This window comes from Homo sapiens, chromosome 2 (assembly GCF_000001405.40).
Source record: "Homo sapiens chromosome 2, GRCh38.p14 Primary Assembly".
Lineage (NCBI taxonomy): Eukaryota > Metazoa > Chordata > Mammalia > Primates > Hominidae > Homo > Homo sapiens.
In genome coordinates, this window is record NC_000002.12 from 55646524 (window position 1) to 55670824 (window position 24301).

At 39.7% G+C, this 24301-nt stretch overlaps 1 protein-coding gene across 4 annotated transcripts in view, besides 1 other annotated feature; it reads right to left on the bottom strand.

Annotated features, from left to right (window-relative positions):
* PNPT1 (polyribonucleotide nucleotidyltransferase 1) overlaps window positions 1-24301 on the bottom strand; it is a 59784-nt gene that overhangs the window by 12463 nt on the left and 23020 nt on the right. For 3 of the 4 annotated variants that reach the window (XM_017005172.2, XM_005264629.3, NM_033109.5), the window contains 8 exons: window positions 21339-21435; window positions 20468-20570; window positions 15433-15503; window positions 13634-13670; window positions 9782-9848; window positions 9608-9697; window positions 8377-8430; window positions 824-930 (listed from right to left, as the gene is read on the bottom strand). In XM_017005172.2, coding sequence (XP_016860661.1) covers window positions 824-930; window positions 8377-8430; window positions 9608-9697; window positions 9782-9848; window positions 13634-13670; window positions 15433-15503; window positions 20468-20570; window positions 21339-21435 — 626 coding nt within the window. Of the gene's footprint in view, window positions 1-749; window positions 931-7930; window positions 7978-8376; window positions 8431-9607; window positions 9698-9781; window positions 9849-13633; window positions 13671-15432; window positions 15504-20467; window positions 20571-21338; window positions 21436-24301 lie in introns of those variants that run through there. The other variant, XM_047446161.1, reaches the window with a different exon arrangement.
* Window positions 3536-4148: an enhancer, noted in NCBI's record as "H3K27ac hESC enhancer chr2:55877194-55877806 (GRCh37/hg19 assembly coordinates)". NCBI's record gives its function as "activates a minimal SCP1, AML or CMV promoter by ChIP-STARR-seq in primed H9 embryonic stem cells {active_cell/tissue: H9 hESC(primed)}" and the evidence as "EXISTENCE:reporter gene assay evidence [ECO:0000049][PMID:30033119]".

The following is a 24301-nucleotide window of genomic DNA, read 5'->3' on the forward strand; positions in this document are numbered from 1 at the left end:
AAAAACAAAAGTCAACATATTCACTGTAGAAACATTTCAAAAAACAGCTTTAGAAGTAAACCATATCCTAAGTCCAAACACAAAGCAATGTTTTCTACATTAACTACCACTTCCAATTTGTGACTTTTTAAGCTACAATTATTTTCACCAGAAACATCATTTTATTTTTAGATCATTCCTTTCCCTCATAAATGCCTGAGAATGAATTTATGCTCATCCTAAAGTGAGTCATTATGAATACTTACACTGTGTAAGTATTACTGCAATACTTAAGGGTAAGTATTACTATTTTTTTAAAGTAATCATTTTATTTTATTTTATTTTACTTATTTTGAGACACAGTCTTGCTCTGTTGCCCAGGATGGAGTGCAGTGGCACGATCTTGGCTCACTGCAACCTCTGCCTCCCGGGTTCAAGCAATTCTGCCTCAGCCTGCCAAGTAGATGGGATTACAGGTGTGTGCCACCATGCCCAGGCTAATTTTTGTATTTTTAGTAGAGATGGAGTTTTGCCACATTAGCCAGACTGGTCTGGAACTCCTGACTTCCCAAAGTGCTGGGATTACAGGCATGAGTCACTGTGCCTGGCCTATTACTATTAATATAATATCTATTTTAAATTCATATCCTATAAGATACAAGGTGAACATGCAGAGGAGGAAGGGAAGAACAAGTACCTGTTCTTCAAATACTAGCATTCTTCTAAGCATACGCTAGGTGCAAAGTACATATAGTCTTCACCATTATTTGTTTTTATCTTTTAATTTTTATTTATTTATTTTTAGTCTTCATTATTAAATATTTGAAACCGAGAATATACTTGCCAAAATATCTGTCAGCAAACGATAATCTTCTATTTCACCCTTCTCAGGATCGGTTTTGGTGACCAATCCTATTGCTACGCCTGCAACAGCAGATGAAATTGGAACCCCTATAATTGGGAAAAAGAACAACTGTGGGTAATGTGTACATGAGCCTAAAACAAATATTTATCTATCAATTTTTTTTTTTTTTTGAGAGGGAGTCTCGGTCTGTTGCCCAGACTGGAGTGCAGTGGCATGATCTTGGCTCACTGTAGCCTCTGCTTCCTGGGTTCAAGCAATCCTCCCACCTCAGCCTCCCCTATAGCTGGGATTATAGGCACCCGCCAACACGCCTAGCTAATTTGCTTGTATTTTTAGTGGAGATGGGGTTTCAACCATGTTGGCCCTGTTGGTCTTGAACTCCTGACCTCAGGTGATCTGCCAGCCTCAGCCTCCCAAAGCGCTGGGATTACAAGCGTGAGCCACCGCGCCCAGCAGACATTTACTTTTAATGTAAGTGGATATTGTTGCCTAAATTGACAATCACCGAAGCTGAGTTGGAAGTCTTAAGAGGTCATCTGACTACTTCGTTTGTTTTTGAACATATAATAAAGTTCCCTAAAACAATGTAAACAAGTACTATATCCAGCAAAAACTTCTCTAACAATAGCAAACTTTATAACTTTTAAATTATCCGTTGGTTTGCTTTTTTGCTTCAGGTGTCTTATTTTCTTTTTGTTGGAAAGTAAGCATCTATTTGGTAAATTCTTCCAGCCTGAACTCCTCAGTTTACCTCCCCATGGCAGCTAACATTAGTGTATCCTCCTAGAAAATTTCTGTGCACAAGTATAAATGTAAATATAATCTTTTGTTTTCTTTACTCGTGGCGGCAGACTGTATGCATTTACTGTTCTGCACCTTGCCTTTTTCACTTAATAACATGTCTTGGATATTGACACATACCACCACACAAAGCTCTACTTTATTCCTTTGAATAGTTTTAGTACTCCCTGTATGTTTTACAAGTCACACACAGAAGTGCGATTGCTGAGTCAAAAGGTATGTGCATTTACGTTTGTTAGACTGTCAAACTGCCTTCTAAAGACATAGCATTTTAAACTTTTACCAGTGGTGTAAGAAGGTATATGCTACTCTATATTCTTATTAATTCTTGTCAAATCTTTTGATTTTTCTCAATTTAAAGTGTAAAAAATGGTTATTTTAAATCTGACTTGTTTTTTATGACTGAGGTTGAAAACTATTTCATGTTCATAAACCTATTTATATGTCTTATTTTGAGAACTCCCTGTTCATGGCCTTCAACACTTTTCTACTTGGTTGGCAGTCTTTTTATTACTGATTTTCTTTCAATATGGACAGAGCTTTATTAAAATGTAAAGATAAAATATTATGTTTAATAACATATAAATAAAATATTTTATTTCCTAGTTCGTTGACTTTGCTTATGGTCATTAGTTTTCTGTGTAGGATTTTTAGTTTACGTAATCATGGTTTCTGGGTTTTGCTTAGCAGAGCTTTTCTTCTCCAAGATTTTGATAAAACCTACCATCTTTCATTTGTTTAAAAATGTTTAAGTTTTGATCACTTGGAATTTACTTTGGTATAAAGGAGTGTGGATCTCATTTCATTTTCTCTAAGCAACCTCATCTATACTTACGATTTTAACCACCATCTATAATGTTGATGACTTAAAAATCTATCCCTCCTGTCCAGCTATCTGTGCCAAACCCTGGACCTGTATTAGTAAACTCCCTGTCAGACATCTCCAGCTAAATGTCCCCAAAGCACCTTAAATATATATTCAAAATTGAGCCAGGCCCAGTGGCTCATGCTTGTAATCCCAACGCTTTGGCAGGCCAAGATGGGAGGATCACTTGAACTCAGGAATTTGAGACCAGCCTGGGCAATATATTGAGACCTCATCTCTATAAATAATAATAATGATGATGATGAAAGAAATACATATATGTTCAAAATTGAATCACTGTCAAAAAATCCTTTTCCTCCTGCATTCTTTGGTTGAAAGCAACTAAGACACTCATGCCAGAATCAACATTTCTTTCCTCATTTCCTATATCCCATCAAGTCACAAAGATCTGTTTATTTTTTTAGAAAGCTGTCCTTTACCCTAAATATTAAAATACCTATTGTAACTTTTTAGTCTGAGTCCATATCATTTCTTGCCCTGGCAACAATCTCCCTGTCTGGCTTCCCAGATTTTACTTTCTCTCTTTGCTTCTTAGTCTCTCCCATCTCATTCCGCAGGGCTATTCATCACTTAAGCTGGGAAAAACTGTTTGGAAAAAACAAAAGCAGATTCAAATCATGCCACTGTTTTCCATAAAATCCTTCAAGTTCCCCATTGCCTACTTTCAGGAAATTTTTGTACATATTCTGTGGTCAAATAAATTTGGAAAAATATTACATGTCCTATTCCTAGAGAGTCAGTATTCGGATTAGCTTATTAAAGTCTATTTAATCCATATTAAATAAACCTGCTTAACCCTGCTGAAACTTAACTTTAGAACAGAATAAACTTTTTCATGGTATACAATAATCAATGTCCTGTGGAACACTATTCCATGGAATACTGAATTGGAAAAATGCTGGCTTTAAGTCCAAACTCCTTAGCGTAACAATAACCTTCAGATTGTACAATGTGTGGCTTTCTTGAGGCACTGCCTCTCGAGTCCCTACCTCAAACTCCACTTCAAATAGGAGATTTTATGTTGGGGAAAGAAGGATTGGTAAAGAATTCTTACTTAAAAAAAATCCTGCCCTCTCTCCCTCTCTCCACCTCTACCTCTACCTCTACCTCTACCTCTACCCACGGTCTCCCTCTCCCTCTCTCCATGGTTTCCCTCTGATGCCGAGCTGAAGCTGGACGGTACTGCTGCCTGATTCTCCTGCCTCAGCCTGCCGACTGCCTGCGATTGCAGGCGCGCGCCGCCACGCCTGACTGGTTTTCGTATTTTTTTGGTGGAGACGGGGTTTCGCTGTGTTGGCTGGGCTGGTCTCCAGCTCCTAACTGCGAGTGATCCGCTAGCCTCGGCATCCTGAGGTGCCGGGATTGCAGACGGAGTCTCGTTCACTCCATGCTCAATGGTGCCCAGGCTGGAGTGCAGTGGCGTGATCTCAGCTCGCTACAACCTTCACCTCCCAGCAGCCTGCCTTGGCCTCCCAAAGTGCCGAGATTGCAGCCTCTGCCCGGCCGCCACCCCGTCTAGGAAGTGAGGAGCGCCTCTTCCCGGCCGCCATCCCATCTGGGAAGTGAGGAGCGTCTCTGCCCGGCCGCCCATCGTCTGAGATGTGGGGAGCACCTCTGCCCTGCCGCCCCGTCCGGGATGTGAGGAGCGTCTCTGCCCGGCCGCCCCGTCTGAGAAGTGAGGAGACCCTCCGCCCGGCAACCGCCCAGTCTGAGAAGTGAGGAGCCCCTCCGCCCGGCAGCCGCGCCGTCTGAGAAGTGAGAAGCCCCTCCGCCCAGCAGCCACCCCGTCTGGGAAGTGAGGAGCGTCTCTGCCCGGCAGCCACCTCGTCCGGCAGGGAGGTGGGGGGGTCAGCCCCCCGCCCGGCCAGCCGCCCCGTCCGGGAGGGAGGTGGGGGGATCAGCCCCCCGCCCGGCCAGCCGCCCCGTCCGGGAGGTGAGGGGCGCCTCTGCCCGGCCGCCCCTACTGGGAAGTGAGGAGCCCCTCTGCCTGGCCGGCCGCCCCGTCCAGGAGGGAGGTGGGGGGGTCAGCCCCCCCGCCCAGCCAGCCGCCCCGTCCGGGAGGTGAGGGGCGCCTCTGCCCGGCCGCCCCTACTGGGAAGTGAGGAGCCCCTCTGCCCGGCCAGCCGCCCCGTCTGGGAGGTGAGGGGCGCCTCTGCCCGGCCGCCCCTACTGGGAAGTGAGGAGCCCCTCTGCCCGGCCACCACCCCGTCTGGGAGGTGTGCCCAACAGCTCATTGAGAACGGGCCATGATGACAATGGCGGTTTTGTGGAATAGAAAGGGGGGAAAGGTGGGGAAAAGATTGAGAAATCGGATGGTTGCCGTGTCTGTGTAGAAAGAGGTAGACGTGGGAGACTTTTCATTTTGTTCTGTACTAAGAAAAATTCTTCTGCCTTGGGATCCTGTTGATCTGTGACCTTACCCCCAACCCTGTGCTCTCTGAAACATGTGCTGTGTCCACTCAGGGTTGAATAGATTAAGGGCGGTGCAAGATGTGCTTTGTTAAACAGACGCTTGAAGGCAGCATGCTCCTTAAGAGTCATCACCACTCCCTAATCTCAAGTACCCAGGGACACAAACACTGCGGAAGGCCGCAGGGTCCTCTGCCTAGGAAAACCAGAGACCTTTGTTCACTTGTTTATCTGCTGACCTTCCCTCCACTATTGTCCTGTGACCCTGCCAAATCCCCCTCTGTGAGAAACACCCAAGAATGATCAATTTAAAAAAAAAAAAAAAATTAAAAAAAAAAAATCCTATTTCTGTATAAAGCTATCCTTCCTCTGACTAGAAACAACTAGGAAATAAAGAGAAGACAAAGATAAAAAGGAAAGTCAAAAAAAAAAAAAAAAAAACAATAACCTTCAACATATGGTTCTACTTTATTACCTTAACACCTCTTTCGAGTAGATTCCTGAAACACACTACACTGTAACTTCTTAACTTTGCACATGCTGGTCCTTTCATGTGAAATACAGGCCCTGCTCCTAATATGCCCAGTCAACAATTACTCAGCCTTTAAAATCAGATGAAATGTAGCAGTCTCTCTCAGCCAATTATGCTCAGCCTAGTTCAACAATCACCCTTACACATATTTGTATTATTACCTCTTCAATCTATTAGTATCTTTTTGTTTTCAAACCTTTAAGCTTTTTCAAAAACTGGGTACAATTTGCATCCCTGGGGCATAGGACAGTGCCTGACTTAGGGCAGGGCAAGCCCTACTCTAGCAATTCAAATTCATATTTGAATTGAACTGCATACCTTGTATCGGCCCATCCCACAGGACTTGACATTCATTCTTATCAAATTTAATTTTTTTGAGGTTTTTGGCTTTAACGCTTCAAATTTAATTTTTAAACTATTAAGCTCCATATTTTTTTATCCTGCTCAATTTTGTCAGTCACCCATTCCTTTTAATCAGTATTTTTATTGGCAGTATTTTTACTGGCAGGCCAGTGTTCTCAGTCAAGTCAACATTGAAAGAGACAGGGCTGAAATAAGCATCCTCACGTCTTCAACTTGAGATCATTCTCTGACCTGTTGATCAGATTAAGCAGTCCCTTTGCTCATCCCTTAACCAGTATGAATGGTGCACCTATTATTTAGTCTAAATTTCTGCATCATTTACACAAGATATCATAAAGATATCATAAACCGTAAAGCTGAATTATAGATATATCACACCAACAGCAATACCCTCTACTGCAAATGCAGTAATTTCTTCAAAACAGAAAGTGAATTAACTATGGCATGACTTATTTTAGAGAAGTCCCTTCTGGCTTCTTTCTGTAGTCCCTTTCCTTTTTTGTTTTCTTGAGACAGAGTCACTCTGTTACCCAGGCTGGAGTGCAGTGGCACGATCTTGGCTCACTGCAGCCTCCGCCTCCTGGGTTAAAGTGATTCTCTTGACTCAGCCTCCCAAGTAGCTGGGATTACAGGCGTGGGCCACCACACCCGGCTAATTTTTGTATTTTTAGTAGAGACGGGGTTTCACTATGTTGGCCAGGCAGGCCTCAAACTCCTGACCTCAAGTGATCCACCCACCTCAGGCTCCCAAAGTGCTGCAATTACAGGAATGAGCCACTGTGCCTGGCCCCTTTCCTTTCTAAACTACTTATAAACCATTCTTTTTTTAAGTTCTTAAGAGTCTTGTTGAGGGTCACGATCAAGTTCATTGGGTTATACTTTATAGAAAATACTTTTCTTCTCTTCCAATAATAAGAACGTTTTCTGTCCTTGGGATACTAGTCTCCACGATTTCTCAATGACTGCCATCATACTTCAGTAATCTAATCCTGAAGTTCTCATTATAGTCAAGGATGAGTTTTTGTCTAGACCAAAAGATCTGAATTCATTTAAAAATGGCAGGTAAAGACTCCCCTATGATGTCATCTTTTATTTTTCAGTTTACTTTTTTCAAGATTTGTTCAGTGTTTTCCAGTATGAGATTTGGAAGACTGAGAAACACAAGTGCCATGAAGTCTAAGACTGTTTTGTTCATCACCATGTCCTAACAACTTAGATCAGTGCTTGGCACATAGGTGCCACAAAGTAAAGATTTGTAGAGTGAAAGAATGAAGATGAAAATAGTAGCAGCAGTATTTTACCAGCTACCTTAAATATCAGATTATGTTTTCCTTTATTGAATAAATTACAAAAGTACCTTTTGCATTTTTTGCTTTGGCCTGTTTTTAGTTTCAATTTTTCTAGATAATATTATTATATATTCAAACCATGTTTTCATTTAATCCTTTGTTATTCACGGCCCTCTTTTCTATCTTTCATGCCAGTACTGTAAATGTGTTAAGTTATCAGAGAAATCCTTTTGTGGCCTCTTTAGTGTCTTTAGGTTCCTTCTCTCTTTCTTCTCGAATAGCAGCATTCATGACAGTTTGGCACGAATTGGTTTTAAGAATCTCCTAGCGGCCAGGTGTGGTGGCTCATGCCTGTAATCCCAGCACTTTGGGAGGGCAAGGTGGGTGGATCACGAGGTCAGGAGTTCGAGGTCAGCCTGGCCAATATGGTGAAACCCCGTCTCGACTAAAAATACAAAAATTAGCCAGGCGTGGTAGCACGCACCTGTAATTCCAGCTACTCAGGAGGCTGAGGCAGAAGAATCACTTGAACCTGGGAGGCGGAGGTTGCAGTGAGCCGAGACTGCACCACTGCACTTCAGCCTGGACAACAGAGCGAGACTCTGTCTCAAAAAAAAAAAAAAAAAAAATCTCCTAGCATAATGCTTTCGTTTTTGGCGTTTCAGACCTGGGGATTATAATGAAACATTTGTAGTCCGCCTTCCTAAAATTGTGTGTACACGCCTGAGTGGCATTGTTCTCTTGGCTTGTATAAATCGACTGAAAGATTACAGTTGCTTTCTCTTATGATTCCTAATAGTACTTACTAATCAAAACTTCCTTGGTGATTGGAATCAATTCTGGAGCTCTCTACCTTTTGGAAGGAAATAAAGTTTACTGGGTCACCAATGCAAATAAAAATTTTTCAGTGTACTGCTTTTAGCTAAAAATAAGAATTCCAGCAGATATCTGGATATCTGAAGCTCTACTTTTCAGCCATCTTGCCTCTGGCTTGATTTGGCCATCTGTAATCTGACTTTGAGTTTTACTAAAACCCAAATTTAAAGAAATCTTATATTTTATACTAACAGGTGTGTATAAAAGGTTAGCATTTTTTTTTAATCTTTTTTGTAGAGATGAGGTCTTGCTATGTTGCCCAGGCTGGTCTTGAACTCCCAGCCTCAAGTGAGCCTCCTGCCTTGGCCTCCCAAGGCTCATGCCTGGGATTACAGGCATGAGCAATATCAGCAGTTTTGAGACATAATTCTTTTACCTGAATCCATTAATGCTAAACTTCCGCCACATGCAGATGCCATAGAAGATGACCCTATAGAAAGAAAAATAACTGCTTTATATTAAACTGATTTTTTTAATGTAGAAAAGTGTTACTATTGGTTATTTCCTTATAAATATTCAGTTACAATACAAATATTCAATAGTCTCTTCTTTTTAAAAGCAACTAAGGCAAGGTCTTTTAAGCTATAAACTATGGGGCTGCAAGGTCCAATATGGTAGACATTAGCCATAAGTGGTGACTTAAAGTTAAATCAATTAAAATAAATTTAATTCTTCAACTAGATAGGACAGATAAAGAGGATTTCTATCATCACAAAAAGTTTTATTTTACTATTATTTTTTGAGATGGAGTCTCAGCCTGCCACCACGCCCAGCTAATTTTTTGTATTTTTAGTACAGACAGAGTTTCACCAAGTTAGACCCTTTGGACCTTATGATCCACCCGCCTTGGCCTCCCAAAGTGCTGGGATTACAGGTGTGAGCCACCAAGCCCAGCCTATCACAAAAAGTTCTATTGCATAGTATTGCTACAGATATTCTAATAGACTTCCTAGTGCATATCTTTTGTCTTGCTTATCAGAAGTAGTTAAAGATATAGGGCTTTGGCTCTCTCATTCTCATAAGCCCATTAATTTAGTCACACCCAGTAGAGAACCACAAAGTCTTTAGTTAAAATTCTGAGTTTACCTTGGTATTTTTTCCTCAAAATCTGTGACTATCTGATTTACGTCTGTTACACCTTTAAGAACTCCATGACCTTTCTGCCTTTAATGACTGCACCGTACCTTGACCCATGGACAAATTTTTTATTTAAATGTGACCTCTTGGCCTAGACTCCCTCTGTGATGTACACTTATTATTCATGTGGATATGTGACAGGTATCTCCTGCCTAATGATCACTCTATTTTGGCCCTTCCTCTCTCTGTTAACCTTGTTCTGTGGTTTGTTTGTAAAAATAAAGAAACAAGCCAAACTGGATCTACTATAACAGATAAAGAAAAACATTTGTTTTATATTGCTTTCAAAACAACTCATTAGCTAAGAACAGAGATTAAGACAAGTATTTGATTAACTCAATACATTTTTCTCTTGCAACAAACTTGGGTTCTGTAGTAATAAACAAAATGTAACATTACATTTGAAAACTTAATAATAGAATAGGGAATATGGTCTTTTCTACTATGAAAGAAGTATTTCAATACCATACCATTTGACTCTAGGACTTCAGATGTAACTCTTATGGTGAAAGGAAAATCTCGGGGAATAACAGGATACAAAGCTTTCTCAGCAAGAGCACCTAAATTAGAATAGAAAACAATAAGTAAAAAATGTATTAAGTCTCTGTAAGAATACCGTATTAAGTTTACAGACCTGTACTTACCATGCCCAAGTTCTCTTCTATTTAAACCAGTGACTTTGCCAATTTCATTAGTTGCATAAGGAGGAAACTTAAAAAAAAAAAAACACAAACACACATATACAATTGACATAGAAAGATGTCCAAGTTATATTACCAAAATAATAAAACAACTTATAGAACAGTAGAATCTCATTTTTGTTTTTTAAAAAAGTACATTCATAAATATACAGAAAACGTATGATATAAATTTAACATACATACCAAATGGTTAAAAGTAGCTATTTCAAGTGTGTACATGGATTAGGATGTGGGAACTGGATGGGTATGGGGATTTACACCATAAATTTCCATTACATTTAAATTATTAACAATAACGTTATATTTTTGTAATAAGTAAAAATATGTACATATTTAAAAAGTACACATTGAAGAATCACAGATTTTTTTCCATAGCAAAGCCCACATTTATTTCACTAAATTGAAATTTAATTTACACTGATACTTTTTAGAGTTATCTCTCTCCACTAACTTTTTCAGATATGAAACAAAATACATGAATGGGAAAGTTGCATATTTTGAAGTATTTCTCAAGCAAAACACAATGACAAAAATGTATGGAGGAAACAGCTCTTTTCCATAAGGGTTTTATTTTAGCCAGTGGTTGCAAACTGTTTTATTTGGTGGATATGTTACCTTGAAGGAATATGAATTAGTTGTGATCATTTGACAATAGGAAGACTTCCCATAAAAATCTGTAATTTCAGGCCGGGCGCAGTGGCTCATGCCTGTAATCCCAGCACTTTGGGAGGCCAAGGCAGGCAGCTCACTTGAGCTCAGGAGTTTGAAACTAGCCTGGCCAACATGGTGAGACCCTGTATCTACTAAAAATAGAAAAATCAGCAGGGCGTGGTGGCGCATGCCTGTAATCCCAGCTACTCATGAGGCTGAGGCACAAGAATTGCTTGAACCCAGGAGGTGGAGGTTGCAGTAAGCCGAGACTGCACCACTGCACTTCAGCCTGTGGAACAGAGACCCTTTTTTTAAAACAGAAAAAAAAAATTCCCCCAAATATCTGTAATTCCAGATTAACAAGAATTTTTTTTTTGTTTTTTCTTTTTTTTTAAGACAGAGTTCTGCTCTTGTTGCCCAGGCTGGCGTGCAATGGTGCAATCTCGGCTCACTGCAACCTCTGCTTCTGGGTTCAAGCGATTCTCCTGCCTCAGCCTCCCAAGTAGCTGGGATTACAGGCATGCACCACCATGCCCAGCTAATTTTGTACTTTTAGTAGGACAGAGTTTCACCATGTTGGTCAGGCTGGTCTTGAACTCCTGACCTCAGGTGATCCGCCCGCCTCGGCCTCCCAAAGTGCTGGGATTACAGGCATGAGCCACCGCTCTTAAATGCAGTGGATGGAGCAGGAATCTGATTAAACCTCTGGATCTAGCGGTCAATTTGCAGGAAATAGAGAGGGGGGAGGAACATGTTGAATTGCACCATGAGTGTACAATCAGCAACACCCAGACTGTGGGAGACTATAAGTCAAATGGCTATGGGGCTTCAATAGATAGACTGCAAAAAAAAAAAAAAAAAAAAAAAAAAAAAAAAAAAAAAAAAAAAAAAGAATGTAATGGAGGAGAAATGTATAGATTTAAAAAGACTTAAAGAAATATCAGGCCGGGCATAGTGGCTTATGTCTGTAATCCCAGCACTTTGGGAGGCTGAGGCAGGCAGACTGCTTGAGCCCAGGAGTTTGAGACCAGCCTGGACAACATGGCAAAACCCCATTTTGTAAAAAATCTAAAAATTAGCGGGGTGTGGTGGTGCCTGTAGTCCCAGCTACTTGGGGGACTGAGGCAGGAGGATCACTTAAGCCTGGGAGATGGAGGTTGCAGTGAGCCAAGATGGTGCCACTGCACTCCAGCCTGAGTGACAGAGTGAGACTCTGTCTCAAATAAACTAAAACAAAAAAGGAAATACCAAATGTTTTAAAGAAAAAAACAAAACTAAACTATAGTATCTAAAAATGGAGCCAGGAAATCCAAGATGATTACTGTAAAACTTAGGAGAGTAGTTACCTACTTTTAAGAGACGACGGGTATTGAGATTGGGATGAAGAACATGGAGGGGCTTTTGAGGTGGCTGGCAATGTTAAATTTCCTGACTTGGGTGGTGGTTACAAGGATATTTGCCTTATAAAAATGTATTAAGCCATCCTTTGTTTTATACAGTTTTCAGTACCTATGCTTTATTTTATAATAAAGAGATTCACAAAAATAAAATATGGCAATAATGGCCCATATCCTTCTCCAGCTCCCTCCCCAACCCCCTTACCCAATAATCAGCTAGACCTCCATTTTGCACAGCTGCCCTTTTAAGACTGCCATGTGCTCTCCAGCTCATGACAAAGAACCTGCTTTACTCAATTATAATTCCTTTCTGGCTTCTGTAGCACCAGGCTATATCCAGAACAGGATATTTATAAGGGATTCAAGACCTGTATGAATCTTGATGTTTATGGATATTCTGTAGCATATAATTTCTACAAAAAAATGTTCTCTATTGATTACAGCAGATTCAGCAAGAGTGAAATGCTGAGACTCTGGGCAGCCAACAAGGGTTACACAAAAACGAAATGACTTGCTACTTTACATAAGTCTCTCATGTTGTATTCTTTTTCTTTTTATTTTTTGAGACAGGGTCTCACTCTGTTGCCCAGGCTGAAGTGCGGCGGAGTGATAATGGCTTGCTGCATTCTCAGCCTCCTGGGCTCAAGCAATCCTCCCATCTCAGCCTCCCGAGTAGCTGGGACTATAGGCACATGCCACCATGCTTGGCTAATTTTTAGATCTTCTTGTAGAGACAGGATCTCACTATGTTGCCCAAGCTGGTCTTGAATTTCTGGGCTCAGCAATCCTCCCTCCTCAGCCTCCCAAAGTGCTGGGATTACAGGTATGAGCTACCATGCCCTGCTCTCCATGTACATTCTTCAAATAATAAAATTAAAAGTACTTTATATTAGGTCTGGTCCCTTAGGATTTGTTGTGAATAAAGTCAATCACAAACTCAATTATCTATAATCATCTCATATAAAGTAACTTAATACTAAACGTCTCATCTTTTACTACTAATCAACTGAGTATAAATATGAACATTTCAATGAGCAAACAGAAGGTGATTTGGGAGTTGAGGTATTTAAAAAACTCTACTTTTGTTTGACAGACGTGTATACAGGCATGACTTTTTTTTTTTTAACCTAAAACGATATTGTCTGCTATACTTTAACTTTTACGTATGACTTAGAACAGGAAGTTGTTGATTAGAAAAATACCACTTATCTCTCTAAAGTACTTATCTCTTATCTCTCTAAAGTAGTACTTTAGAGAGTGCTAAATACTCTCTAAAAATACTACTTACATCTCTCTCTACTTATCATTCTACACAAAGCTTGCCATGCCTTCTGTAAGCAATAAAATAGTAGCCCCAAATTGACCTTAATAGATATATGATAAAACTAGAAAAGTAAAATATTATTGGTAAAACCCAGGTAGTGGATATATGGATAGTCACTGTAAAGTTCTTTCAACTTTACTGTATCCTGGAAGTTTTTAAAAATAAAATGTTCCAGCCTGAGCAACATGGCAAAACCCCATCTCTAGAAAAAAATAGAAAAATTAGCCAATTGTGGTTGCACAAGCCTGTAATCCCAGCTACTTGGGAGGCTGAGGCGGGAGGATGTCTTGAGCCTGGGAGGGAGAGGTTGCAGTGAGCTGAGACTGCACCACTCCACTCCAGCCTGGACAACAGGGTGAGACCTCGTCTCACAAAAATTTATTAATTTATTAATAAAATTTTGAGGAAAAAAATTCACCTTACCTCGTAGTGCAGCATGAAATTTTTATCTTTTATCCCACTAAAAATAAAAGGCATAATATTAAAAACATCATAGGGAAAAAACATATTTATTTCAAAACACAACTAAAACAGATTTAAGGGGATTTTACAAAAGAACTAGGTGTTAATGAAAAATCAGACTGAAACTGAAAACCAAAGAATTAATTAGAAGGATGATTGTGAGATGATATTTTCTTCTGGGGCTTATGAATGAATTGTACAGATTTAGGAAACCAATTTTACTTTAAATATAAGTCCTTAAATATCCAGATTTGAACACTAAGACAATAGATGTATTTTTAAGCATTAATGACTACTGAGAGAATCCTAAATGCTATACCCACGTTAGTTAAATCTCAGAGCTACAATGCTTCTCCCAGTCAATATGTGAAACGAAGAAAAAGTCCTGGGATGGGGCAGAATCTGCATGATCATAAACTGTAGCTTTGGAAAAAGAAATCTAAAAACCAAACTCCTTCAGAGGACTAAAGGAATCACAGATTTGGTGAGCCAGAGAGGATTATAGCAGGTCACTGGCCCAGTTCATTTGATAAGAAATAGAAACCAAAGGCCAGTGTGGCTGAGTGATGATGTGTGCCCCTTTATTTACACAGGTTATAGACCTAAGACTAGAATATATGGAGGTACCCTGACCAAGCCCAGTGTTCTGCATTCCACCTTCACACACACAGCTGCACTGTCGATTCTATCAGATACATGGAAAACAATTACAGTGGCTACTAGGAATTATCCTCATCAGTTGGGCATCAGGAAAAGGAGGGCCGAGCCTTGTGGTCTTCTGAGACCCTTAACCAGGAACAGGAAGTAGCCCTACTAGGCACTGAGGAAAATAAAGAACTGGCTATGAGAGTCAAGACTCTATGCAATAATGCTGGTGAGGACTGCAATAGAGATTCTTTTTTTTTTTTTTTTTTTTTTTTGAGACAGAGTCTCGCTCTGTCGTCCAGGCTGGAGCGCAGTGGTGTGATCTCACTGCAACCTCCACCTCCTGGGTTCACGCCATTCTCCTGCCTCAGCTTCCCGAGTAGCTGGGACTACAGGTGCCCACCATCACGCCCAGCTAATTTTTGCATTTTCAGTAGGGACGGAATTTCACCGTTTTAGCCAGGATAGTCTTGGTCTCCTGACTTCAGGATCCACCCACCTCGGCCTCCCAAGTGCTGGGATTACAGGCCAGGCGTGAGCCACCACGCCCGGCCTGCAATAAAGATTCTTATCATCAGAATTGATTTGGCCTGCAATAAAGATTCTTATCATCGGAATTGATTAGCATGATTTTACTGTTGACTTTTTAGGGGCAGAGGAGGACAGCCAAGTATTTCTGAACACAAAATCACAACGTGGCTTGGGATTCGACAAGGCTTTTCATTAACGAGGTTTTTCATTAACAGCCTCCAGATTATTTTCAGCAATGGGAGCTTTCGTGTATTCATTTGCTCTCGTTTCTAATAGAAAAACCAATCCATTCAAGATTACCAAGGAAGCCTGTCCTAAGAAATCATTCTAGAGACAGAGAACAAACTAAATATACTCACATTAAAGAATTAAATGCTTTACTAATATTTGTTCCAAATCAGTGATTTAGAAGACAATCTAGCACACACACAAAATCCTTTGAAATCATGATGATGTAAACAGAAAAATGAAGTACAAAAACACAGGTTAAAAAAAGTAACAATAATTAATAATATACCACATAAGCTTTAATTATATAATAGAACATCATAAAACGTAACAAACATCTTAAAAACATAACTTACTTTATAGCTGTTATAACTTGATCTGACTTAATACCAGATTCTAATGAATCAAATGTAACGGTACAAAGCACCTAAAAAAGAAAAAGAATTCCTCAGGCTTTAATATACTAACCACAAAGATGAAAACTAAAAATACTTGAAGAATCCAACTAACTCTTAAAAAAATGAGATAAGTACATCCTACACAAAGCTTGCCATGCTACTAACTGCATTAAACACTTATTTATTCTATAAATATTCATACTATGTGTAAACCTCAATAATCCAAAGTTCTAACATCACATAGACTACATATGTAAAGCACTGCTCTAGGAGTGCTGGGGAAGGAAGGCAGGAAGAGAAAGCAATGTTTTTAAGAACTATGTAGGAGAGTACGCTGAGGAAGCCTTAATACAGGTTCAGCCAATACAACTGCCTGCTTAAAATTAAAAAAAAATCAGGCCAGGCGTGGTGGCCCACACCTGTAATCCCAGCACTTTGGGAGGCTGAGGCGGGCAGATCACAAGGTCAGGAATTCGAGATCAGCCTGGCCGATACGGTGAAACCCTGTCTCTACTAAAAATACAAAAATTAGCTGGGCATGGTGGCATGTGCCTGTAGTCCCAGCTGCTTGGGAGGCTGAGGCAGAAGAATAGCTCGAATCCAACAGGCGAGGTTGCAGTGAGCCAAGATGACACCACTGCACTCCAGCCTGGGCAACAGAGCGAGACTCTGTCTCAGAAAAAGAAGAAAAGAAAAATAAATTAAGAAAATCAGTCTTCTTTGTAGAGACATAACATAATCCAGACACTCTACAATGTATCATTCACAACATCCAGAAAACAACCTACAATGAAACAGGAAACAGGGCCCATTCTCAAGAATAAAGACCAGGAATGGAGGCTGATTCTGAGTTGATTAAGATGGTGGATTAGCAGACAAAAGATTTTTTTTTTTTTTTTTGGAGACGGAATCTCACTCTGTCACCCAGGCTGGAGTACAGTGGCACGATCTCGGCTCACTGCAACCTCCATCTCCTGGGTTCAGACGATTCTCCTACCTCAGCCTCCTGAGTAAGTAGCTGGGACTACAGGTGCGTGCCACCACGCCCAGCTAATTTTTTGTATTTTTAGTAGAGATGGGGTTTCACTGTGTTAGCCAGTATGGTCTCGATCTCCTGACCTCGTGATCCATCTGCCTTGGCCTCCCAAAGTGCTGGGATTACAGGCGTGAGCCACCACGCCCGGCGACAAAAGATTTTTAACAGCTATTATAACTATACTCAAAGGACATAAAAAAGAATAAGTGGAAATTCTAGAATTGAAAACTTTAATATCTCATAATGGAGGGGAGATGGCAAGAGTCAGTGAGCATGAAGATGAATGAACAGAAATTGCCCAATTTGCAGAAGAGAGGAAAGAGAACATAGTTGCAGTGACCTATGGGACAGTATCAAAAGGATAACATATGTGCAGTTGCAATTCTAGAAGAAGAGAGAGAATGAGGCATGAAAAAATATTTGAAGAAATAATCGATGAAAATTCTCAAGTTTGGTGAAAGACATCAATGTACAGATTTAGGCTCAGGACACTTTTAGCAGGATAAACTCAAAGGAAACCACACCTTTCAATCATAATGCTGAAAACCAAAGATGAGGTGCAAATCTTGAAAGCACCCACATGAAAAAAATAATAGATAAGGAACAATGATTTGAATGGGTCCTTTTCATCAGAAAAACATGGAGAACAAAAAACACTGAAACGGCTGGGTGCGGTGGCTCATGCCTGTAATCCCAGCACTTTAGGAGGCTGAGGCAGGTGAATCACGAGGTCAGGAGATAGAGACCATCCTGGCTAACATGGTGAAACCCCGTCTCTACTAAAAAATACAAAAAAAAAATTAGCCGGGCGTGGTGGCAGCCGCCTATAGTCCCAGCTACTTGGGAGGCTGAGGCAGGAGAATGGCAGGGGCATGAACCCAGGAGGCGGAGCTTGCCGTGAGCCGAGATCACACCACTGCACTCCAGCCTGGGCGACAGAAGGAGACTCCATCCCAAAAAAAGAAAACTCATAGGATGATATTAAAGGAAGTCTTGTCAGAATGAAGGGAAATGATACTGGATCCATACTTGGATCTTCAGAAAGGAATAAAAAGCACCAGAAATGGTAAATATGTGGGCCAATATAAAAGCCTATCTTTTTCTTATTACTTCTTTAAAATACATGATTGTATGAAAGTTATAACACCACCTTGTGGGGGTTTATGACACATGTAGATGTAACTGATAAGACAACTGCAATATAAAGGATAGAAGGGGCAGGAAATGCACCTAAATGGTTGCGAAGTTTCTTCATTTTATGTTAAGTGGTACAAAATTAATTCTAAAAAGACTGTGAGGGTCTTATGCCTGTAATACCAGCACCTTGGGAGGCGAAGGTAGGAGGACTGCGGGAGCCCGGGAATTCAAGACTAGCCTGGGCAATATGGCGAAACCCTGACTCTACAAAAATTTTTTACAATATATAAATAAAAAGTTGTGAGAAGTTATGGATGTATACTGTTATTTCTATAGTAATCACTGGAAAATAACTCAGAAGTACAGCTAAAAAATAAATAGGCAAATTAAATTAAAATTCTAAAAACAATTCAATTCATTCAAAAAGAAGGCTGAAAGTAAAAAATAGAGAAACAAAAAACAGAAGGGCAAAAGAAAAACAAATAATAAAATGACGGTAAATTCAATCACATCAATGATTAAATTTAACATGAATGGACTAAGTACTACAGTTACAAAGCCAGAGATTGTCACAATGGATAACAAAAGTATGCAGAACATCTTAATAAAGGCATTTTAAAAACTTGACTAAAGAGCATAAAAGAAAACCTGAATCAAAGGTGACACTGACTCTATTCATTGTAGACTATAACTTAAATTGTAAAAGTATGATTCTTCTCTCAGATTAATATAAAAATTTAGTATAATTATAATTATAAATCCTAGAAGGATATTTTGAGAACTTGATATAATACTAAAATTCAAATAAAGGAACAAATGTATCTAAATTTTAAGATAATTTTGAGGGGATTGAACAAACAGGGAAGATGACTTGCTTCTCAGATATTAAAATATACCCCTAAATCATAATAATTAAAATAGTTTGACAGTGGCCCAGAAAATTCACGTAACAATGAAAAAGGATATAGTTTAACATGCATTTATAAACTTTGACTATCATATGGTGACATCACAAGTCATTGAGAAAAATAAAGTATTAGTAAATAATGTATAATTGGCTCACTATGGAGGTCTTCCTTTCATACAACGTGTAGGAATAAATTCAAAGATCGACTAATGGTCTACATTCGACAGCTAAAACTAGAAAGCTAATAGAAAAAGTAGGTGAGTAACTTTGTGACTTTGAGGTACAGAAGAATTTATATCAGAACTAAGTTTTCAGGTTTACTCTAAACATAGCAGACTACCACAGGCAAAGTTAAAAGGCAATAAATAAAGAAGGAGACATATATATATAAAGTTTGTTACCAAAAGGAATTAATATTTAAAACACTTCAGAAATTACTACAAAATAGCAGGTAAAACACAGTAAACCATATTAAAAAAAGAAAAACTGGCCAAAGGATATGGACAGAAAATTCATAAAAGGGCAAACCTGAGGCAAGGCCACCACACTGCACAACTCTAGGGGACAACATTCATGTGGAAATAGTGCCCTGGAGGTGTGCAGTTCCCCAGGGCATGGTTTATGCAGTGACCATGTTGACTGGCTGTTATATAAATAATGCTGAGCCTCACTAGTAATCAGGAAAATAAAATTAAAGCAAAAAGTTACTACTTGGTGCCTATCAGATTGATAGAATTAAAGAAACAATTAATGTGGGAAAGGAGTATAAAGCATAATATGGTACACAGAACAATGAATACAGATGTAGGTAAATATTAATAAACGAAAAGAAGGAGAACCAGAAGGCTACCTGTTAAATACAAGAGTGGGTGCCTATGTAAAGAATAAAGAATAGAAAAAGAATAGAACTGTACAGGCTAAATGGAGAAAACAAATGAGGGCCTTGAACAGGTCAACAATCACAATATGCCATAAACTAGAGTCTGAGTTACTCAATTTTGTATACCCAATATTAAAAGAAAGATACAACAGAAATACCAGATAATTCTAGAAAATGCAAACTAATTTATAGTGACAAAAGCAGATCAGTAGTCTCCTGAGGAGGTGGGGGGCAGGAAGAAGGCATTACAAAAAGGCATGAGGAAACTCTTGGAGGTAACTGATATGTTCATTATCTTTTTCATTTTTAAATTTTTTAAGAGACAGGGTCTGGCTTGGTAGTCCAGGCTGGAGTGCAATGGCATGACCATAGATTATTGCAACCTCGAACTCCTGGCCTCAAGCAATCCTCCCTCCTGGGCCTCCCAAAGTGCTGGAATTACAAGAGTGAGCTACCATGCCTGGCCTGTTCATTATCTTGCTGGTTTCTCAGTTGCATACTTGTGAAAAGTTACCAAATCATACATTTTAAACAGCATAGTTTATTGAACAGCAATTATACCTCAAAAAAACTGTTAAAATTACATAAAAAACACACCAAAGGCCAGGCGTGGTGGCTCATGCCTGTATCCCAGAACACCAGGAGGCTGTGGTAGGAGGATTGCTTGAGGCCAAGAGTTTGAGACCAGCTTGGGCAACATAGTAAGACCTTGTCTCTACAAAAAAAAGTTTTTAATTAACCAGGCATAGTGGCACACGCCTGTAGTCCCAGCTACTCAGGAAGCCGAGGTGGGAGGATCGCCTGAGTCCAGGAGTTAGAGGTTTCAATGAGCTATGATTGTGCCACTGCACTGGAGCCTGAGTGACAAACAAGAACCTGTCTCAAACAAAACAAACAAGAACCGCCAGATATTAATTTAAATAAATAATATACACCATATGACAAAACCTACAGCATCTACTAATGTACTTCTATTAGATCTAATTAAACAATCTTAATTTAGCAAATAATTAGAGCTTTTTATATAAATTACCTGTGTTTGTCCTCTTTGAAATAATGCTGATCCATGAAGGGTTTTAAACATATCTACCTCACAACTTACATTCCTAAGTGAAGTCAAATCCCGACCATCGCACCTATAGTGATATAGGAAATAAGTACATTAAGTAACGCTGGAAACAGAAAAATCACATGTCTTTATCTCTCCCAGGAAGTTCTCAACCTCAGTTGTGTATCATAATCCCCTGTGGAACTTTAAAAAATAATAGATACTTGAGCACTATCCTGAATATCACTGAATCAGAATGTCTGAAGTTGAACCTATATTCCTGTGTTGTTAAAAAACTCTACAGGTAGGCCGGGCGCGGTGGCTCATGCCTATAATTCCAGCACTTTTGGAGTCCGAGGCAGGCGGATCACGAGGTCAGGAGATCGAGACCATCCTGGCTAACACGGTGAAACCCCGTCTCTACTAAAAATACAAAAAATTAGCTGGGCATGGTGGTGGGCACCTGTAGTCCCAGCTACTCGGGAGGCTGAGGCAGGAGAATGACGTGAACCCGGAAGGCGGAGCTTGCAGTGAGCCGAGATTGCACTCCAGCCTGGGTGACAGAGCGAGACTCTGTCTCAAAAAAAAAAAACAAAAAACAAACAAACAAAAAACTCTACAGGTAATCCTGAAGTGCAGTCAGGGCTGGCAGGCACCGCTTTATACACCAGGCCCAAGACAGATGGTCACATATCATGTACTTTTTCTTCAATAGGTGTCCATTTATATAGCAAATATTATAATTCTTTACTGTTCACTTGAAAAAAAACAAACTTTCTTTGATCAAGTTTCCATTTTCAAGGCAACTTGCAGAGACAGTGCATACTTCAATTTCAACAAAAAAGGGTATGTTTACCTTTTGTATTCATTCAAAACAATACTTCTAAAAACTTCCTTTGCAACAACATTGAAGGATTCTATTATTTCATATGGATCGGCTTCTGGAAATTTTTCTATAGAAAAAAGACAAACCAAAACAAAGATTTTTACTTTTTTAGGAGATAGGATTTCTCTAAAGTTCATAGCATAATATCAACTAACTACGGGAATCAACCAAGGGAGATGACTCTGAACGTTTAGTCCTCAGGCAAACAAAGTAGATAAATTAAATGTTCTCAACCAAATGTGACACATCAAGTACCAAGTACTACAACTGTGTTGTTATTGTGAACTTAGTTTGTTTTCTACCTAAATGACTGAATGACAGTGCTTTGAAATCAGTTCCCTTTTCTTTCTTTCTTTTCTTTTGGAGACAAAGTCTCACTCTGTTGTCCAGGCTGGAGTGCAACGCCGCAATCTTGGCTCACTGCAACCTCTGTCTCCTGGGTTCAAGCAATTCTCCTGCCTTAGCATTCTGAGTAGCTGGGACTACAGGCGTGTACCACCATGCCTGGCTAATTTTTTTGTATTTTAGTGGAGACGGGGTTTTACCATGTGGCCCAGGCTGCTCTTGAACTCCTGAAGTCAGGCAATCTGTCTGCCTTGGCCTCGCAAAGTGCTAGGATTACAGGCGTGAGCCAATGCGCCCGGCCCATCAGTTCCCTTTTCTATTATGTTACCAGAAGAATCCAGTCAGCCTTTATGGAAAAGGTCTGACAGTCTTTTTTTTTTGAGACGGAGTTTTGCTCTTGTTGCCCAGGCTAGAGTGCAATGGCATGATCTCAGCTCACCGCAACCATCGCCTCCTGGGTTCAAGCAATTCTCCTGCCTCAGCCTCCCTAGTAGCTGGGATTATAGGCATGTGCCAACACACCTGGCTAATTTGTGTATCTTTAGTAGAGACGGGGTTTCTCCACGTTGGTCAGGCTGGGCTCGAACTCCTGACCTCAGGTGATCCGCCTGCCTTGGCCTCCCAAAGTGCTGGGATTACAGGCGTGAGCCACTGTGCCCGGCCTAACTGACAGTTTTAAGAGTAGACACCCTCACTCTTTTGCCTTTAATCTAAATCTGCAAATTGGGGAAAAATTTTAAAAATATATTAGAAATCCCTACAAACTGTTTTCTATCTAATATTTGTCAAATGCTTTCATGAGCCAGGCACTTTATTGGTTTTTTAATGCTTTTAACTTTCATAATAACTTATGAACTAAATTTTATGATTCCCATTCTACAGAAGAAAAAACTGAGGCTTAAAGGGGTGAAGTACTGTGTAAGAGATAACCACTGAGTTTAAAAAAAAACATAAATAAAAAATAAAGAGGTGGAGTAAACTGCCTGAGACCACACAGGTAGTAACTGATACAGCTGTGACCTGAATAAAGATCTGTCAGCCTCAAAGGCTTATGGTTTTATTTTATTTTATTTTTAGCTTAGGGTTTAGATGTTAAGCTATTCTACCCTATCAATTAATTTATGCCAAGTTTTAAGTACTATTCTCTCATGTGTATGGTTTATTAAACATAACTTCAAAGTAACCAAAACACAAGAAATGGTCACAGAAAGATATATTAGATTGTATCTTCTTCAGAAAAGAATAATTTTTAATATTAGACTTTAATATCTTTTCTGCTTAACTGAGTTGTACTTGGAAAGGAAAACAATCAGTACCAAAATGTTTAAAATATCCTATCAACCCAGAGGGTCGTGAAGATATTCTACTATGTATAATACAAACAAAAAGTCACTATTCTTTTAAAATAAGACAATATTCGCTATAAAATTTCTTTCTTACCAAATAGGATGAAATGTAGTGAGAAAGGACTAAACATATTCAATGACAGTTACAATTAATGGCCTTAATATCAATGCTAACAGCACTTTTTTTTTTTTTTTTGAGATGGAGTCTTGCTCTATTGCCCAGGCTGGAGTGCAGTGGCGGTCTCAGCTCACTACAACCTCTGCCTAACAGGTTCAAGTGATTCTCATGCCTCAGCCTCCCAAGTAGCTGGGATTACAGGAGCCTGCCACCATGCCCGCCTAATTTTTGTATTTTTGGTAGAGATGGGGTTTCACCATATTGGCCAGGCTGGTCTTGAACTCCTGATCTCAAGTGATCCACCCACTTTGGCTTCCCAAAGTGCTGGGATTACAGGCATGAGCCACCACGCCTGGCCAGTTTTTTATCTTAAAATAAATATTCATGTGAGAGTATATTTGTCTATTAGAAAAATTAACAAAAACTATGTCATACTTCATTTATATTCAGTTTGTGTGAGGTTGGTATTATTACTATTATTTTTATTTATTTATTTATTTTTTTGAGACAGAGTCTCGCTCCGTTGCCCAAGCTGGAGTGCAGTGGCGCGATCTCGACTCGCTGCAAGCTCCACCTCCTGGGTTCACGCCATTCTCCTGCCTCAGCCTCCTGGGTAGCTGGGACCACAGGTGCCCGCCACCACGCCCGGCTAACTTTTTGTATTTTTAGTAGAGACAGGGTTTCACCGTATTAGCCAGGATGGTCTCGATCTCTTGACCTCGTGATCTGTCTGCCTCGGCCGCCCAAAGTGCTGGGATTACAGGCGTGAGCCACCGCGCCTGGCCAGAGGTTGATATTATACAGTAAGATCCTTTGCTTAATAATTTCTGGAGAGCTAAATTACCTAAGTTCTGTATCTTATGATTCCACTAGGTATTAAGAATAGCATCAGTTAACATTTATTGAACACTTACGGTGTGGCAGGCACAGATGTAAATGATTCACTCATTTAATCCCCATAAACCAGGTATTATTAACACTGCAATTTCACAGATCAAGAACTCAAGAATTTTAAAGAATATATTTGGGTTTTCAAATGATAAGATACCAGGTTACATTTCTTGTATGGTAGGAGTTTGATTCAGAAAAGATCAGGAACATTCACATTCAACATTTACTAGGTA